General features: G+C 40.2%; 1 protein-coding gene across 10 annotated transcripts in view; it reads right to left on the bottom strand.

Moving 5' to 3' along the window:
* HS6ST2 (heparan sulfate 6-O-sulfotransferase 2) overlaps positions 1-20,728 on the bottom strand; it is a 335,356-nt gene that overhangs the window by 134,211 nt on the left and 180,417 nt on the right. The gene's annotated exons all lie outside the window — the stretch shown is intronic.

The following is a 20,728-nucleotide window of genomic DNA, read 5'->3' on the forward strand; positions in this document are numbered from 1 at the left end:
AGTAGATGATATGGTTTGGCTGTGTCCCCACCAAAATCTCATCTTGAGTTGCAGTTCCTATAATCCCCATGTGTCATGGGAGGGACTTGGTGGGAGGTAATTGAATCATGGAGGCGGTTACCCCCATGCTGTTCTTGTGACAGTGAGTTCTCACGACATCTGATGTTTTTATAAGGAACTTTTCCCCTTTTGCTCATTCTTCTCCTTCCTGCCACCATGTGAAGAAGGACATATTTGCTTCCCCTTCCACCATAATTGTAAGTTTCCTGAGGCCTCTTCAGCCCTGCGAAACTGTGAGTCAATTAAACTTCTTCCCTTTATAGATTATCCAGTCTCGGCTATTTCTTTGTAGCAGTGTGAGAACGGACTGCATCTACTCAGAGCAAAGAAAAGTTTTAGCAAGGAGAAAGTGTGCATGTACAACTGTGTGTATACATGACCATGTGTGAAGAGAGAGAGGACACAGGCATGGGAGAGAATGAGCACTTCGAGTTCAGTGGAGGGGGCAGGGCGAGTAAATGCCCACCTTTCCACTCTGCTCTCAACACACATAACTCACCCTTGTAGGCTGGGAATCCCTCACTTGTAAGCGTGCTTGCCTGAGGGAAAAAAAGGAATTTGAGGCCCGGGCCAAAGGCGTTACACTTTTTTTTTCTTTAAAAACAAAAACATATGTAAGCAACTGAAATAAGGCTCAATAAAACCTTGATAACTAACAAGACTTGCAATTACTCAATTTGGGGTGATATGATTTGTAGTCATTCAGTTTAACTAAAAAGAGGGCATTGTTTTCTGGGATAAGATATGGGTGAAAAAAAATCACTTTTTGCCTAAGAATCTTCCATATATGCAAGGAATAAATGGTGGAAAAAGACTTTTGCCTCTGCTTTGGAGCTGAGAAGCCTGCAGAGACCTGGCTAACTGACCCTGGAAACTTTCAGAAAGGTACAGAAAATGAAGCAAAATTACCCTTTATCTGTCTGAGCACAATTCACTAGATTAAAGCCCTCTACAGGCAAAGTACATCCATTCTTGGTGCAACACCGTCTGCAAACTCTCAGAGTGAAAAGAACTTCTGATTCTCAGGGACTGAAAAGGGTCCTGGGAAGTGAGTGCCCAGAAGTCAATGGGCCTGCTGCTGTGGGAGGGGAGAGACTGCCAATGGGATCCCACTGAGAGAGAAACCCCAGGAGCCCACCCCAGCAGGGGGCGAGCCAGCACCAGGGCATCCTGAGAAGCCAATCCTGGAAGTGGGCACGAAGGCCTTTGACCCTGAAAGCATGGATCCCAAGCCCTGCCATTTCCCAGGTCAATCATCCTCTCGCCAGCGTCTCTACTTCCCTGTGGGCAGAGGCAGATAATGAAGTGCCTGTTCTGGCTCATGCTGTTGCTTTACAAAGGGAGTTTTTCTGTAATTGGTCCATGCAAGGAGAGTTATTACATCTTCTGAACCGTTAGGTCCCAAATGGCAATACCGAAGCACAATGGCTACAGTCACAGCCTTTGGAGACAGTATATTCATAGCCACTTCCCGTAGAGTGACAGGGAAGACAGAAATGGCCGAGAAATGTGTGCACTGGCCTTATGAAATACGGGTCTGAATCTTCTGTAAAAACTCCATTGAAGTTTTCACCCCTTGTATTACTTATGGATCCACAAGGTAATTCCTCCTTACCCTAATTACTTCATCTGTACAATGGGGGTAATTATATGCATACATCATGAAGACATTTGTGAGGATTAAATGGGATAATGCATGCAAATGGGATAATGCAGCTATTGCTTAGTGCAATAGCTGGCGCATGATGAGCTCTCAAAGAATATTAGCTATTACTGATATGAAATAATTCATCATTATTATTCAGCATTATAAGCAGCTTGTGTCTTCTGAAGAACAGACACTACTCCATTTATCAGATGAGTACTAGATAATCCATCATGTTTCACTTATTGTCTTGGTTTGAACTCAAAGTCAAATTGAATGTTCAAATTCAGTAATTCTAATGCTACTAGATATTGAGCTCTTTGAGGGCAGGAGCCATGTTTTACTCAGCTCTGTATTTTTAGTGGCAATCCCAGGGCCAGGTTCACAGTGCTTATGAAATGTGTGAGATGACTTCCACCCCAAGTTCTTGATAGAACCATTGTTCATGTCTTCTTCTCCCTTGACTTTCTTCCACAAGGTTTCAGATCTTTTTGTAAACTTCAAATTACTTAATAGACAGATTTTATTCAGATCCTTTTCAGAAATAGGTGGGGAATAAATAATACTGATTCTGAAATATTTATTTACAATAACCCTACATATCTCACCTAAAATGGAGAGTGGTGCATGTCCAAAGTAGGATGACAATGTTACTGAGGATCCAGAGGGAAAGGAATGTGGAGGCCAGGGACAGGGACAAGAATGGCAGAGACCACAAAAGACCCAGAAACAAGCTTTCAGACATATTGGTCCATATTGGCATCATGTCAGCTGCTAATGACCCTTTCCAAGAGGTTGGCTTAAAACAGCATTTCCCCTTGGGCCTCTGTTGCTAGCATAGCCCAAGAGGGAAAACTCACTCTTCTTTTTTTTCCTATTCTTAATGTTTTTGGAAAGGGTAAGGGACAGGGAGTTGCCAGCAACAGAGCATCATGGTTAAGAATTTTTCTACTTTTCAATTGACTCAGCTTCAGTCTTAACTCTGTCACTTACTATCATGTGACCCTGGGTAAGTTTCTTAACCTCTCTGAATGTCATTTTCCTCCTCTGTAAAATGCCGATGACAATAATGATATGATCCTCACTAGGTTGTTGTGAAGATTAAATTAAAATTATGTGAAGTGTCTGGGACATAGTAAGAGTTCAATAAATGTGAGTTGCTATGATTATGTGTCCTGCAGTCATTAGCTACAGGCTCGAATAACTGAGCACCTCAGGATGATGGAAAGACCGGACTAGAAGCCATGGGTTCAAGCCTTGAAGAGTGGCTTGTGGGGTCAGGGATCAGAGATTAAAGGGCATACCTAGTTACTCATTTGTAACATGGTAAAAATGTAGTGTCTATCTATTTCCCACGAGTAAAAGTTTTAAGAATTTAATGAGCTAACGCATGTGAAAGTACTTTGCGAAATGCAATCATTCTGTGCAGATGTAAGTGGTATTCTCACTGGGCATTCCCAGAGAGAGGGAAACATTATGTTTAGCTCATAAATACTTGGGTTTTAATCCTTTGAAGGCTTTCCTGCTAGCACACCGTGGTACGGAGAAACAGCAGACAGTGCAGACTCGAGATGTTCTCTCTGCACCGAGCTGGGCTCTGCTCTCAAACCCCTCCATGTCCCACCCTGTTCAGGAGCTTTTAAGATGGCCTTGTCATTTTTAAAGGTTCTTTTCACCAAGCCATCAGTTTTAGGCATCATCTTGCAACTGTGACATGTCTAATCTTGCTCACTTGACGATGCTAGGGCCATGGCGAAGTGACTGAGGGCTTGGAGCTGCCTGTCATAGCTAATGGCTCAGCCCACACAAGACTTAGAGGCTGCTTGTGTCATCCTCTGTCCAGCTGGCAGACAGAGAGGTGTGAAGAGTTGTCATCCATCACCAAATAGAAAGCAATCTCTCCTGATGGAAATAAAACAATCAATACGTTTGGATTTCAATCACAGAGAATATGTTTTCTCAGAATAGGTCTTAATCAGTGTGTGCCCTGACAGATAGCATGTTGGTGTGAAGCATAAGCTGTGCAAGAACAAATGTCACTTGGAATACCAAAATAGATTTAATAGAAGAAACATACATCAGAATGTATCTTTGTTCCCTACCTCCTTACAGAATTTGTGAGACAATTCTTGTAACATGGTTACCTGACTCACTGGACTGCCAGCATTTCAACATTAGGAAAGAATGAATTTTCCAAAAAAAGGAGTGGTGCATTTCTATTTCTGGGAGACTCTCCCATATTTAGAGCTAAAAAGAACCTTAAGATCTTTCAACCTAGTTTGCTCCTTTTATAAAAGGAAATGAAGTCCCAAAAGGGCAACTGACATGCCCAAGGTCACACAGCCAGTCAGTGGCAGAGCCAGAGTATAAATCCAAGAAATACTAATCATTTTGGAATCAGAAAATATGCAGTAAAACAGCAACTAAAGGCATTTGAACAACCATTGACATTTTGGTAACACTAACAAAACAATGGTGGGTGGTCTGTACTTCTTATTCTAGACGATTCCTAAAATCCCTTCAGTATTGGCAGTCTGGGAGTTTATGATGTGACATTTGCATTACATCTCTTGGGGACCAAATCCCTGTTCTATGAGGTGTAAGTTGTGGTGACACCCATTGAATATAAACCTTCAAGCAGACAGTTGCAGAAAATTCAACCAGCCTCTTGTTTCATGTGTTCTGATGGGAAATGCCCCTCCTTATTTAATTGTCTGTTGAGTGCCCCTGCAAAAATCCACCTCCTTCCAGGCCAAGCTCAATCTTCCCTACTTACCAAGTTAATGAACACCCACTCACAGGAATGGGCTTTTTCTTTCTCCAAGAAACAAAGGTGTGATTTCAGGAAATGTCTTCCATCTGGTTACGATTTTTTAAAACAACAGTAATTGCTGGGGTGGTTTTGGGGGTGTTCTTCTCAATTCTACATTTTTGGACATTTTCTCCCAATCGTACTGCAGAACAAACAAGCCAGAGAAGATCCAACACTTCCCAGTTTTATTCTCTCACCTCCCACTTGCTCAGACCAGAAAGAGTAAAGAGATTCTGGTCTTGAGTATTTCATTTGAGGCTTCTCACTTCCAGAACTTCAGGTGAATATAGCAAGTGTGGTTTTAAGTACTACAGAGTGCTAAGCACTGGGTAAGACCTGGGCCACGGTGTATGAGTTGGGGTGCAGGATGGCTACAACTGCTCCCCTGTCCTTCAGCAGCTTGCAAGCCTGGAAGAGAGAGATGCAAAATTCTCACTAGAATTTGTTGCAGAACAAAATGCCTTCTATGGGAGGCACAAGTGGGAGAGATATAAAATGAACAATTATTCCAGTGAAGAGGAAGATCACAAACACCTCAAGGACAAGAGAACATTAGCACTAAGCTTTAAAGAATGCGTGTGGAGACACACGTGTGTTAATGCAAGGAGAATCTTCTGTTAACACTAATTACCATTTAATAACCAGAAAAACACATTGTAGACTTTGTGTGTGTGCATGTGTGTGTGTGTGTGTTTCAATAGATTTATTTCTATTTTTTATTTTTATTTTTTTGACACATGGTCTTGCACTGTCTCCCAGACTGGAGTGCAGTGGTATGAACATATCTTGCTGAAGCCTCAACCTCCTGGGCTCAAGTGATCCTCCCACCTCAGTCTCCCGAGTAGCTGGCACCACGGGCATGCACCACCATGCCCAGCTAATGTTTTTTGTAAAGACACGGTCTCATATTGTTGCCCAGGCTGGTCTTCAACTCCTGGGCTCAAGCAATCCTCCCGCCTTGGCCTCCCAAAGTGCTGGGATTAGAGGCATGAGCCACTGCACCCGGCCCTAGATTTTAAAATAATATTACTTAACATTTCTTGAGTGCCAACTGTAGGTTCAGCACAATACTAAGTGCTCCACATTTATTATCTCATGTAATCATCATAGCAACCTTACATGGACTAGTATGTATTATTCTCCTTTTTAAGTTTAGGAAACCAAGGCCCAAGGACTTCCAGCTAGTCAATGGCAGAGCCTGGATTTCAAGCCAGGCAGTCTGACTCAAAGCCAAGCAGTTTTCTAAAGGTGTGGGCTGCATATACCACTAGCCTTAGACTCACGTGGCAAAGCCTGTTAAAAGTGCAGATTCTGAGCCTCGGCCCAGACTCAGGAACCAGAATCCTGTTATATGGGGCACAGGAATTTGTATTTTCAACCAGACCCCAAGGTGAAACTAATTCAACTAATGTTTGAAAATCACTGTAGTACAGCATTCACTTGCATGGAGAAAGCTAGAATATTACTACAGGGATCCCAGAACAAATGAAGAGCAGTCAAAATTATTGGTAAATGAATCTTTCACCATTAATTTAACTAACTAAAATAACAAATTCATTTTATATTTTGAAATGATATGATTGATATCATATCTAAGAAAGGCAGGCCTAAAAGGCTGGCCATCTGGGATTTGAGGGGAACAAAAGAAGTGGTTAAATGGAGGGCAGAAACTATAGAAAGGAAGGTGAATCAGTATGCGAAGGCAATGGCTCTGGAGGACAATGTCACAAAGTGGAATCTTGGGGTCCTGACAGTCTAATCCTAGCCCTGCCACTAAACAGGCCAGTTGACCTAGAGCACTCAACTTTTCCAGGTATATTAGTCTGTACTCACACTGCTATAAAGACATACGTGAGACTGGGTAATTTATGAAGAAGAGAGGTTTAATTGATGCACAGTTCCACAGACTGCACAGGAAGCATGGGTGTGAGGCCTGTGGTGATGTGGTTGCATTTTCATACCACCAATTCTCACCTAATTTTAATATCATGAAATGCACTCAATTGTAAATCAATACCACATGTAATGAAGTCTTGCTTCCATACTCAGAAGATATCTTTATTAGGCACTTACCATGTTCCAGTGAATGGTTGAGGTACTTTTACATGGATTATCCTATTTCATTCTCTCAATAACCCTATGCAGCAAATAATTATTGTATTATCATTTTGCAGCTGAGAACAAGGGGCTCTGCGAGGTTGAGTAACTCAACTTGCCCAGTGTCACACAGCTGGCAAATGACAGAGCTTGGATTGGAACTCGATTATCTGACCTCAACGACCTGATTACAAAGGACTTCTATAGCAGTCCATGCAAGATCAGCCAGTTCTAGGTAGGCAAAAAAGGCCAAGGACAAAGAACATAGTCTCCCTCAAAGAGAGGTTCAATGGAACTAATGCTCCAGCAGACTTCAAGATGACTGAGACCTTCCATCCTCAAGGGGCAACGCCACCGCTGCTGTCAATCCTGCTACTCCTCTCCCTTTTCTCTTTTTGAGACAAGGTCTCGCTCTGTCACCCAGGCTGGAGTGCAGTGGCGTAATCACAGCTCACTGTAGCCTCGACTTCCAGTGCTCAAGCAATCCTCCCACCTCAGCATCCTGAGTAGCTGGGACTACAGGCGCACATCACCATGCCCAGTGATTTTTTAAATTTTTAGTAGTGAAGAGGTCTCGCTGTTTTGCCCAAGCTGGTCTTGAAGTGATCAAGTGATCACTGTCAAATGGGAATAGTAATAATTTCCAAGGTGTTTGCGAGGATCATCAGATACTAAGGATTTTACTTGTTTTTATTTTCCTTATATGATGTACACATTGTTTACATTGAAAAAAAATTATTTCTCCAAACTAGAATCTAAGTTCCATGGGTATGGTGGGTTTGATAAAGTAACCAAGTGATCCTCCCACCTCGGCCTCCCAAAATGCTGAGATTGCAGGCATGAGCCACCCTGCCAGGCCGCCACTCCTCTCAACTGCCCTTTATTGTGCCTCTATGCTCGGCATGGTGCTCCTATGCTTTGCATGCTTAATCTCATTTAATTTCTGCTCCCCTTTGAGGTGGGTAGTATGATGCTTGTTACTTTTTGAATGATGAACCTGAACCACAGAGAGGTTAAGTAACTTGCCCAAGATCATAATTCCTAAGCAGGAGGGCTGAGATTCAAAACAACACCTGGCTCAACACAAAGGCTTTCCTTTTAACCATGATGTTGTGGTGCTTCCACTTAACTTAGTAGACCTAGCCAGGGTCTCTCAGAGTTGATACATCTTTACGTTGAAGGTTTTGCTAATGACCCAAGGTATCTATATCTCCCATGGGCTCCATTAAGTCAAATCTCAGGGTGGCAGCACTTTGGGAGGCTGAGGCAGGCAGATCACTTGGGGTCAGGAGTTTGAGACCAGCCTGGCCAACATGGTGAAACCCCATCTCTACTAAAAATACAAAAATTAGCCAGGTGTGGTGGTGGACACCTTTAGTCCCAGCTACTCGGGGGCTAGGGTGGGAGAATCACTTGAACCCCAGAGGTGGAGGCTGCAGTGAGCCAAGATCATGCCATTGTACTCCAGCCTGGGTGACAGAGTGAGACTCTGTCTCAAAAAAAAAAAAAAAAAAAACTCAGGGTGAGTGGGATCTACCTAGTAAAAGAGATGCCAAATACTTTATCAGACCCATCATACCCATGGAACTTAAGATTCTAGTTTGGAGAAATAATTTTTTCAATGTAAAGAACGTGTACATCATATAAGGAAAATAAAAACCTGTAAAATCCTTAGTATCTGATGATCCTCACAAACACCTTGAGAAGTATTACTATTCCCATTTGACAGATGAGGAAAATGATCATTCACTTGTCCAGCAACTGAGCTATGCAAAATGCAGGACTCTGCACAAAAACTGAGAATTCTTCCACTGGAGTGTAGTGACTATTGGGAACAGGCTTGGCTTTTCAGCTTCCTTATCATGTTCAACCTCTCATCTCTCTTACTTTCAATAGGCTTACCCATTGGTGTGGTTTTTGGATTTTGTGGATCTTTACATTAGAACATACTGAGTTTTCTTTCTCAGAAGAAATGTCTGCCAACATAAATCCAAGCCATGGGCTTCTCCTAGTACTCCTTTTCACGTTTCATCAAAATTTTACTTTTCATCAAAATTCTGGGCATAAGCAACATTCAAATTTGCTTCTTTTATGTGGTGTGATTAAAAGTCCTGTGTAGTGCCTGTACGAATCATCCACCCTCCTGAAAGCTTCTCTGTAATAACATTTCCACCTTTGAATAATGTGCTGATCCATTGATTAAATCAGTTTCAAAGGTTGAATCAGTGAGGTAAAATTGGCAGGCAGGAAGGTAATGCCAGACACTAATTCCCTTTCCTCGGGGTGAGCTCTATAAATGTGTAGCAATAGAATAGCTTTGTAATCTTCAGGGAAGTCTACGGTGCTGAAATTAAACCCATCAGGCAAAGAATACCTTTTCCCAACCACAAATTATCCTGCATTTTATGAGCAACAGGTAAACAAGTAACTTTTGAAAGCAAGAAGACAATAATATTTTCCATTCTGCAAAGGTTTTATTTCAGAAGGGCCTGCAGCATTAGTACTTTAGAAGAACAGTTAATTTGTCCTCATTCTTTTGAAACCTGGAGGCACCCAATGCATGGGCTCCAGAAGGGAAGAAGTCAGCACACATCACCGAAATAGACCAGTTTCCACCACCTAACAGGAAAGCAGCTCAGGGGGAAAAGTGTGTTCATCAATTGCATTTCATAGACATCCTCTGCAGCTTTTCCAGCCACTAACTTTTTTTGCCAGACACTTAGAGCCCTTGAATGCTTGTTTAATTTCAGACTACAAAAGTCATTATTCAGCGATGGCACAAGAAACAAATATCACCCACTGCTAAAAAGCTTTGGGCTTGGTAGACAATTCCAGGCCAGCAATAGGCATGTTGTCACGGTTCTACCAAGAAAAAACACACTCCAGGTGCCTCAAATGAGGTAGGCGCAAAAGCGGAAGTGACCAACAGTTGTGTAGATCAGAACTTGCAATTGCTTTGAATGTCTGGTTTTAATAAGTCTTGGTGTCACAGGATGTGGAGAGCCAACACTGTCTTCTGCAGCAACCCATGCCGAGACTCACTTTCTCTGAGACAAGGGGCAAGCTACCCTTTTGTTACTCATTTATGTTTGGTACAACTCGCTTGTGATATGTTCTTCACCAAAAAGGTTGTCATTATCATCAGATCGTCATCTTAATTTGAGACTGTAGTAGCACTAAGTGTTTTGCATTTGTTACTTCATTGAATCATCACAAAACCCTTGGAAGATAGGAAACATCATTACCAAAGCAATGGTAGTTATCATCTCCTGAGTGCTGCTATAGTGTTATGTGCCACACACTCTCCTAAGAACATTATACACATTATCTCATTTCCTTCTTACAAGAACTCTGTTATTCACCCTGTTTTACACATGAGAAAACAGAAGATCAGAGACATCAGGTAACCTCTCCAAAGTCACTGCTATAATGGGTAGAAGAATCAGAATTGGAACCCAGGTCATTCAAATTCCAGCTCGCACACACTTTTCCCTGCTACTGGATTTTAACATTCTGGGAGGCCAAGAACTGTGTTTAGTTCATCCATGCATCACTCATAGCACCTAACTCAAGCTCTGACACATAACAGAGAATTAATAAAATTTGGATTGCCTCTCTGAGGTTATGCCAACACCATTCATCCAGTTCACTCTTAGCCCTGTAAAGATAATTTATAAACGTATGTAAATAAACAACCTGCACCACTGCTTATTCTTGCCCCCAAATCCCAGTACTATTATATTGAGAGAGCTCTCCCTGGTGTTTTTCAATTCTCTTAAACAAACTGGCTTCCCCTCTGGTGGTAGTGGTCATTCTGTCTCTCCTTGGAGGCAAAGGGATGTATTGGGTAAGTCTTTCAGTTCCTTGGGTCTGCCATTTTGGAACTTCCTTCAACTTCATTTGAGAAATATTCACCTACTGCGGTAAATGCTTAAATTAGTAGGGCTCTTCTGGTGGGCAGTGTGGCTAATACAACACAAGCCATAAAAATGTGTATACCCTTACAAATGATGTTCAAAATGGAATTAATTAATTATAATTATCAAAAATAGCAGAATAAAAAGAAAATATCTTAAATGATCAATAAGGAAATAGTAAATTCTAGTAGATGCTGAAAGTGAAGTCTTATGCAGCCATTAAACTTTTTATTTTCAGATAATATTTAATGACCTGGTAAATGGTCATAATACGATGTATGGTGAGTAAGATGGTCCCAGACACTAAAGTCTAGGAGAGGAGGCATGGACTATGCCAACAATTATAAACCTAATTATTATAAAGAAAATTAGGATCACAATTTGTATCTTACCACAATGCAAGGCACATAGTAGGTGCTCAGTAAATATGCAACGAGTGAAAGAAAGAATGAATGCAAGCAAACAAACAGTGTAAGAAACTAAAGCAAAATGATACACTTTGGGTTGTGACACTGCAGGTGATCTTTATTTTCTTTTTAGTATTTTATGGATGTTTAACTTTGTTTTCTAATGAACAATGTATTACTCTCAATATCTGAAAAATATCTTACTGAATGGATACTACCTACAAAAGAAGAAGAGGAGCCAAATCTGTTCATGTAAAGAGAAAAATGTGAGTGAGAAAAGCAAGAACTATCTGGAGAACCTGGAGGTATTTTTCAGATGAGATGTTATTTTTTTCCCACAGCATGACAAGAAGCAGCTGTTGAAACCCCCCTTTGTGTTCGGCATATAACTTTAGAAATGAAGACAACTTTTAATTCTTCAATTAGGCTCAAAAGAAGGAAATGGGGAAGCACATCACAAAAATGGGCTTCTTGTCCTTTGAGTTCAAATTCAAAGTATAAGTTGGTTGCTTGAGCTTGGGCCCCAGGAATCCCTGCTCGCATGGGAAGCCTTAGGAATAGAAAACAGGCAAAGCCTTGGGAAAAATACTGTCACATCAAATCATCTTTGAAGTAACTTTCATAATGAGACTTGAAGATACTGTATTTGCCTAAAAATAAAGTTTGGAGTGAGTTCAAAATTTGTAATTTATGAGAGCCTTTGGCATATATTGGATGACTTCATTTTGATCTCCTCTTTGATGTGATGTATCAATCAATTTTCTTTTCTCCTACCATTGTTCTTGGATGTGTACAACAGAGCCCTTTATTTTCAGAAAAGCAATTAGCATGAAATGTTACTTATGGTGTCTTAAACTATGTGTTCTATAAATGGTAAATTGTTGTAATTACCAGAAGATGAAAGTCATATATTGGATACATTCTTATAATTATTATAAAGAAATGGCCTGGTCATGGACTGAAATCAAATTACAGATGCATAAAATTCAATTTCACTTTTCTCGAGATCTGTGTAAAAGTTGAACACACACAAAATGTGGTTTCAAATGTAACATGCTGGCACAGAAGCAGTTTCTGCACAGATGCTGTGAAATGACACATTTCTAGAATTTTCCATGCCGTCTCAAGGCCCAGTTGTGTTTTCTTGTGACCACCACACTCTAAATTTAAAAAGTGCTAACATCTGGTTTAGCAGATCCCCAATCCCTCTTTTTCATTTGCTTTATGAGGAAATAAAACAACAACACATCAAACTAAAGATGCAAGAAGGGAAATATTGTGCTGGCAAGGCCATTTCTGAGGCAAAGTATAAGACTTTCACACTTGTTAATATATATATAATTAATATATGTATATATTGCATACAATATAAATAATTGTATGCAATATAATTATATTGTACACAATAAAAATAATTGTATTCTATATAATGATATTGTACACAATATAAATAATTGTATTCTATATAATGATATTGTACACAATATAATTGTATGCAATATAATTATATTGTATACAATATAATTAACTGTAATGATTAATATACAATATATAAAAATATAGAACTACATTATTAATATAATATATACTTAATATAATATATAATATATATATTATTTTATATATGATATAATATAAAATATAATATATATTATATTATATATTCTATAATATAAAATATAACATATAATATAGTCTATAATATAAAATATAACATATATTATATATTATGTAATATAAAATATAATATATTTTATATAATCCAATTATATTAATATATAATTTAGATTATATATTAATATATAATATATTAATGTAATCTTTTATATTTATATATTTATGTAAAGATATAAAAATAATAGATTATATATATGTTTATATATTATAATGTATTAACATAAACTTTCATATTTATAGATTTACAATCTATAAATAGATTATAAATATATAATATTAAAGATATTAATATATTAATCATGTGAATATATTGATTATATATACTATATAATATATATTAATGCATATTATAAATATGTAATATATAATAAATATGTATTATATATTTATAATATAATATATACATATAATATATTTATAATCCAAAAGTCAACATTAACTCATTAACATTATAGGATGGTTATATAAAAAAGACCAGGAATAACCAGTGTTGACAAAGATGTGGAGAAATTGGAACCCTCATGCACTACTGGTAGAAGTGCAAAATGTTGCAGCCATTTTGCAATACAGTCTGACAGTCCCTCAAAAAGTTAAATTTGAAATCATCATATGACCCAGCAATTCCACTCCTAGGTATATATCCAAGAGAACTGAAATCACCTGTCCACCCAAAAACCTCTATATGAATGCTCATAGCAGCTCCATTCATAATAGCTGAGAAATGGAAATAACCCAAATGTCCATCAATGGATAAATAGATAAATAAAATGTGATTAACTCATACAAGGGAATGTTATTGGTCACAAAAAAGAAGTGAAGCTCTGATAGTGCTAGAGCAGGGATGCACCTTGAAAACATTTAGCTAAATGAAAAAAGCCAGACACAAAAGATCACATAGTGTGTGATTCTGTTTACATGAAATGTTCAATATAGGTAAATCCATAGAGATAGTAAGCAGATTTGTGACCACCAAAAGCTGGAGGGAAAAGGAAATGTGGAGTGCCTGCTGACAATTATGGGATTTCCTATGGAGGTGTGAAAACTGCTCCAGAATTAGTAGTGATGGTGGCACAACTCTGAATAAACTAAAAACCACCCAACTGTATGCCTTAAAAGGGTGAATTGTGTATCTTAGGAATTGTACTTCAATAAAGCTGCTATTTTAAAAACTCAATATGAAATGGATGAACTGAAAATAAAGATGATTATTCAAATAATGTCTGTGTCAAAAATGGAAAGTTTATGAATTCCACAGCATATGATTTAAAGGGGGAAATGTAGAACATCTACTGTGTTCCAGACACTGTTTTAAGGGCTGGGAATAAAGAATGGACATAACAAAGTCCCTGCCCTCATAAATTTCACATTCCGAGGACTCAGCTTTACACAATCTGGCAGATGGGTGTGACTTTAGGTTTGGAGGAACTCCCAGAAGAAGGTTTAGGGGGTTGAGAGAAAAGCTCCTGAACCTCCTTGTTCATTTATAAAACAGTGCTATTTGCTGTTTTCTGCTCTCCACCCCAAACATTTATTTTTAGGACGAAGTGCAAATAGTCTTGCTTCTTGAAAAATTGCTCCTACAGACCGTGTCTCAAAACTGCTATGAAGCTAAATCCCAGCTTCTCATGCAGAGAGACCTTATCTATCTGGGGAAAGCCAGAGTGAGTCATGAAAGGCATGGACGACTGAAGTTGAGGTTGGTTTAAGCACCTTCAGGGAACAGATCAGCATGACCTATATTTACAGATTTACAGGAATCATCACAATTCATTTTATGTAAACTTGGGTTGTTGAACACTTTAGGACTGCTCCAGTTTTAAAGGAGTTTCCCCTTCAAAGTAGCTTTTTTTTCTTTTTTGATCTGGAGTCTCGCTCTGTCGCCCAGGCTGGAGTGCAGTCCCGTGGTCCTGGCTCACTGCAACCTCTGCCTTCTGAGTTCAAGTGATTCTCCTGCCTCAGCCTCCAGAGTAGTGGGGATTACAGGTGTGCACAACCACACCCAGCTAATTTGGGTAGTTTTAGTAGAGATGGGGTTTCACCATGTTGGCCAGGCTGGTCTCGAGCTTCTGACCTCAAGAGATCTTCCCACCTCGGCCTCCAAAATTGCTGGGATTACAAGCGTGAGCCACTGTGCCCGGCCCAAAGTACCGTTTTCTTCATGATCCATCTCTGCTCCATGGACTGCAGTGGTTACCACTGCTGACGACACTAAGTAGCCTGTTTTCCAAAACACTCTCATCACAGCCAGGGGCATCCTGTCCATCAGCCTTACTTCCACTCTTTCCCTAAATATACAGCTTCTCTGCTTCCCTCCACCAGCTGAGCAGAGCACCTAGCTTTTCCCTATAGACACCACGCTAGTTCTGTTCTCATGTTACTCAAAATGCCCATACCTTTCTCTCTACATTACTTTTCAAAACCAAGTATAAATTCAACCTCCTCCAGGAAACTTTCTACAGTTCTCCAGACCATAGTGACCTTAGGTGTGCCACACACAGCTACTCAATTACCTCAGCTCAGTCGTGAGCTCCTTGAGGTCAGCGATCATATGGTTTGCCGCTCTTCCTCCAGTTCCTCTCACACAATAAGAGGCATGTAGAAGCTTCAGGGCTAGTACTGATTCTGCGAGCTTATCCTACCTCAGATATGTGAAAGGGTACATTGAGTATTTCCTTTTCTAAGTGAAATTACTAAAAAGATTTCTTTATGAGACATAATGCAAGAAAACGGGGGTGTTGTTTCTGCTTCTTTCCTATATAAACTGAGCTTGAATAATACTGAGCCTTCCACTGACTCACCATCTGCCAAGGCCACATCATTGTATTACCAAATGGCAAGCCGATTGAGCTCAGATTCACTGAACAGAACTATGGGACTTTTAAAACTGTTCTCATGCCATTTTCTACCTTAATTTTTAGATTTTAATAATTTTCAGATTAGTTGTGCTAGAGATCTTCTCTATCACCTTTCCGCTACTAAACCAAGTGAATTTTCCTCTTGCAGCTAACTCGTGCTTCAATGATATCAGCCACAGTACAAGGCTCATGTTTTGCAGCCATTTTTGTTTGTCTTAGGTCCTGAAAAAAAGAAGTCCTGAGATCATGTTGTTGCCCTAAACATTCAAATACTCAAATTTAGATGCTGATTATGTGGAGTTCTTCATGGACATTCTACATGCCATGTAGTTGTTAAACTCATCAATGTAAATACTATGAAGTTTGACAAAATGAAAAAAAAGTTTTTTCCAGGTGCTTGCAACAATTGTATGATCATGGGGTGGATGGCGAATAAGATAATACATTGCCATATTATTGGAGGAGAGAAAGTGCCGGCAAAATTGATTGAGAACATTTTGAAAGAAATATGAAAGTGGCACAACATAATTGAAAAGAGAATTGTCGCAAGACACAGTTGCAAAGAGAGCTGTCTGAAGAATATGGATTTTAGTCCCAGGAGCTAATCTAAAAGACCTAATGAAGTATATTAATGTGAAGAACAAGACAATTACTTTCAAAGACAAATCTGTGGCATCTACATCTTCTGATCTCCAAATCACAGGCAAAAAGAAGAAAGAAAAACAAATCTGCAGAATCTACCCTATGACATGAGCGATGTGATGTCTAGTGCACACAAAGCTTAGGAGATGCTATTGCTGCATTAGGAATCTGTGTTCACTATTTCAACTTGTTTTCCCCTCTCTCTTTGTAAAAGCATGGATAAGGGGAGTTACAGCCCTTCCCCCATCCATCCTCACTCCAAACCATCCTACACACTACTGGCAGAGTCACTATCCAAACCCCCCCTGCATCCTGCCGCTCTTTTAAACTGACATTGTGGCAACCAGCCTACCTTATTCGCCTCATTGTCCACTATCTGCATTCCTCTCCATTCACTCAAGCCAGTCAGTTAGTCACTAGGCCATCCCACAAACCCACCAAATTGCAGCACCGCAGTCTTAGAACCATAGCACATGCAATTTTCTATACCTGCAATAATCTTGCCACTTATCAAAATCCCACTCAGTTTTTTAAAGGTCCAGTTTAAGTCTCTGATTACTCCAGCTCATTCACGCCAGTGAATTCCACTCCCTATTACTTCCTCATTTGACTGTCTCATACTAATTTGCATGACAGATCACTTTTTACACCAGTGGTTTGCAGTAGGAGGCGATTTTGCATCACAGAGGAAATGGAAGGCCGTGGAAATGTCTAGACATTTCTCATTGTTACAACTAGGAAGGGGGTACAACTGGCATCTAGTAGGCCAGGGCCAGGCCAGGGATGCTGCTAAACTTCCTACAATGCACAGGGCAACCCCCTACAACAAAGAATTATCTAGCTCAGAATGTCAATAGAACCAGTGTTGAGAAGGGTTGTCTCTTCAACAGGATTGGAAGCTGTCTGAGCAGGAACATTGGCATTCCCTGTGTCTAGCACGGTGCTGAGTACCTACAATAGCATCCCTCGATAAATGTGTGTTGATTATATGTCACCAACTATCTGGTTGAGTAAAAAGAAAAAAAATAAGTTAAAATGATGCATTTGGCTTTCTTCTACTTTTAATGAAGTTTAAATATCACTTTTATTTTATTTTATTTATTTATTTTTTGAGACAGAGTCTCACTCTGTTGCCCAGGCTGGAGTGCAGTGGCACGATCTTGGCTCACTGCAACCTCTGCCTCTAGGATTCAGGCGATTCTCCTGCCTCAGCCTCCCGAGTAGCTGAGATTACAGGCATGCCACCACCACACCCGGCTAATTTTTTTTTTTTTTTTTTTTGGATTTTCAGTAGAGACGAGGTTTCACCATGTTGGCCAGGCTGGTCTCAAACTTCTGACCTCAGGTGATCCACCCACCTAGGCCTCCCAAAGTGCTGGGATTACAGGCCTGAGCCACCACACCCGGCCTAAATATCACTTTTAAAGAATGGCATTTTAGACTAATGCTCCATGTCCTTTCTTCTTAAGATCTTTATGAGATGGATAGCCCTTACTAAGGAAATGGGGACAGCGAGTAGTTGAGGGGCTTGTCTGAAGTTGTCGATTATGATGGAACTTGAGAGAACAGTTCTCAGTCTTTCATGTTCCACGTAGTTGTGTCTGAACAGAATATAGACAATTAATTCACTCATTCAGCAGACTTTGAATGAATTCCGATTATGCAGCAGACACCGGGCTATGCTCACTTCTCCAGTTTTGGTATGATGCATTTATTGCTGCAGGCCAGAAGTCATGTCACTGTCATGGCATACATTTTCCCATGAAAATAATGCTGCAATCTTGACCAGAGATTAGGCTCCAAGTATATCACAGATACGACTATGCATGTAACATAAAGGCAATCACAACCAAATTATAGTGTAGCTTCTATAATAAATTAAAATAGACAATTGTTCTATAAGTTCTTTAAATAAACAATGGCCTCTGGATACAATGATGTATGTATTCAACATGCAGAATACAACTCTATTAAATATAAATTCAACTCAATAAAGTAGTTAAAATGTATATCAGATGCTGGATTGAGCAAAAAACGTTGTTTTGTTTTGTTTTGTTTTGTTTTTTTGTTTTTTGTTTTTGAGATGGAGTCTCACTCTGTTGCACAGGCTGGAGTGCAGTGGCATAATCTTGGCTCACTGCAACTTCCGCCTCCCAGGTTCAAGTGATTCTCCTGTCTCAGCCTCCTGAGTAGCTGGGATTACAGGTGCGTGCCACCACACCCAGCTAATTTTTTTTTTTGTATTTTTAGTAGAGATGGGGTTTCACCATGTTGGTCAGACTGGTCTCAAACTCCTGAGCTCGTGATCTGCCCGCCTCAGCCTCCCAAAGTGCTAGGATTACAGGCCCGGCCAAAATGTTTTTACCTTCTACTAATTAGAGAGGACTTGGGAGGTAGTATGTGAAGCTGAATTTAAAGCCCTAAATCTTTTCTAAAAGTTGCCTTAAAGGAGTTGGAATTGGCCTTTTCTTTTTCTCCAAGGCCTTCTTGACACTTGGCTGCCAGCTATCAGAACATTTCACACTTCCTGAAAAGCTATAAAAACATTTAGCTGATCATCAGCACTATGTTTCTTTTTTCAAAAGGTGCTTCAAAACATTTTTCCAAAAAAATGTAAAAACAAGAATAAACAGTATCCTGGAATGGAGGAAGAAAACAGAGAGAATTGCTGTGTGGGTGTTTAATTAGGCAGCAACCACCTGCCTGAGCAGCACAGGGAAAAGCAAAGGGGTGCACAAACTGCCAGCAGGGAATGGAGGACTGGATCAAGTCACAAGGAAAAACTGGTGGCAACTCAGGCTGGAATACATGCTATGTGTGCTTGGGTAATGGCTGTGATTTAGCAGCAGTTCAATCCACTCTGAAAACAAGACTCCATCTTTTAAAACATGCTTCATACCTCATTGATGATATTTTACATCCTTTCCCCAGACCCATGAGGACCATCTAGTAAGTGAAGCTGCTCTGAAGTAGATTAAATGTGCAAGCTGCATCCTAGCAGTTAAGCCCCATCTAATCTAAGAATTAGTGAAAATTCATAATTTGCACTGGATGCAAATATCACATTACTATCATTTCAAGTAAAATGCCTGAAAGAGTACAGCAGAACTGTCAGATGCTGATATCTTACAGGGTAGTCTGAAATTGGATCAAAACCTCTATAGTTTTTTTTTTAGCTCATTAAGACATGAGCTGCAAAATAAACTTAAGAGAAAAGAATGCAAAGCTTCTCTAAATTAATGGAGGCAGAGGCAATATTTGCAGAGGTTAATTTGAAGAAGATTCATTTGGGACTGTTTCAGCAAGCCCTATGATCCTCCACATTGGCCCCATCTCCCCTGCCACGTCCAGAACACATAATAATGATGAAAAATCAGCATTTCTTGAACCTTTACCATGTGCCTGGTCTGTGCTAAGTAGTTCACAGGAATAAATTCCCCTGTTCCTCCCAATAACCCTATAAGGTTGGTACCCTTACTATTGCCAGTTTACAGATAAGGAAACTGAGACTCAGAGAGATAGTGGATAGCCCAAACCCACACAGCTAGCAAGTGGCACAGTCGTAATTCTAACCCAGTAGGTCTGCCGCCTGAGTCCCTAGCTCCAGCTCCACCCACTGTCAGTCACCCACCTTCACTCACATCCCTTCTCCAGATGGTCCTCCACATCTGTGAGCTGCATTTCTCACAGGAGTGGATGAAGCTGCCCTTACGGGGGAGGCATCAGAAACCACCGTGCACATGCAAGATCAGCTACATGGAATACATGTTGAGCCCATCTCTGATTTGCACAGGAGCCAAGCTTCACTGACTTTGTTCAGTCTCCATATGGCCAGCCCTTTACACATCAAGAGTTCTGGTACCTGGCTGCCATCTCCCTCCCTGTGTTTAAGATAAATTTTTCCTCCTTTGCCTCCCAAAGGATTGTGACCTTTTCATCATCCAAATAATTTTTAGACCTACCCTCTCCTTCAGTATAAAACTGCCCTCATGCCTCCCTTCATCCTGGCTGAAAACAACGTCTCTGATGTGAGCGCATAATAGCTACCATTTATAGAGCACTTACCAAGTGTCAGGCACTATGCCAGGCACTTTGCATGCATCCTATCATTGAACCCTCATAACTATTCCATGAGATAGACACTAGTATTGTTCCTATTTTACAGATGACGACATTGAGTCTCAGTTAGATCAATTGATTTGCCCAAGGTAACCCATCAGGGCAGTGCCACAGGCTGGATTAGGGCCTGAAGCTATGGCTCGTTGACAGGTCATTTTACTTGCCCAGCCTCAGTGCGCTCACTCATCTGTTACATGATGAAAATAAGAGTTTCCACCTAATGGAGTTGTTGTGAGAATGACATGAGATAATGCAGGCAAAGACTTAGCACAGTGCCTGAACAGAGTAAGCCCTTGACAATGAATATTCCCCTTACTGACGAGCAGGATTCATGAGGTGGGCTGCTACTCCGAGCCCCCAGCCTCAAGATGACTGGAAAACTGAATACAGATCCAGGCTAACTAGCTGAAGCTGAGCCTTGAGCCTGTCTTAGGAGCAGGGGATAAGGTGCCTTTGGGTTTTGTTTCTGTGCCAAGATGTTATTATCCACCATATAC

Source organism: Homo sapiens, chromosome X (genome assembly GCF_000001405.40).
Source record: "Homo sapiens chromosome X, GRCh38.p14 Primary Assembly".
Classification (NCBI taxonomy): Eukaryota; Metazoa; Chordata; class Mammalia; order Primates; family Hominidae; genus Homo; species Homo sapiens.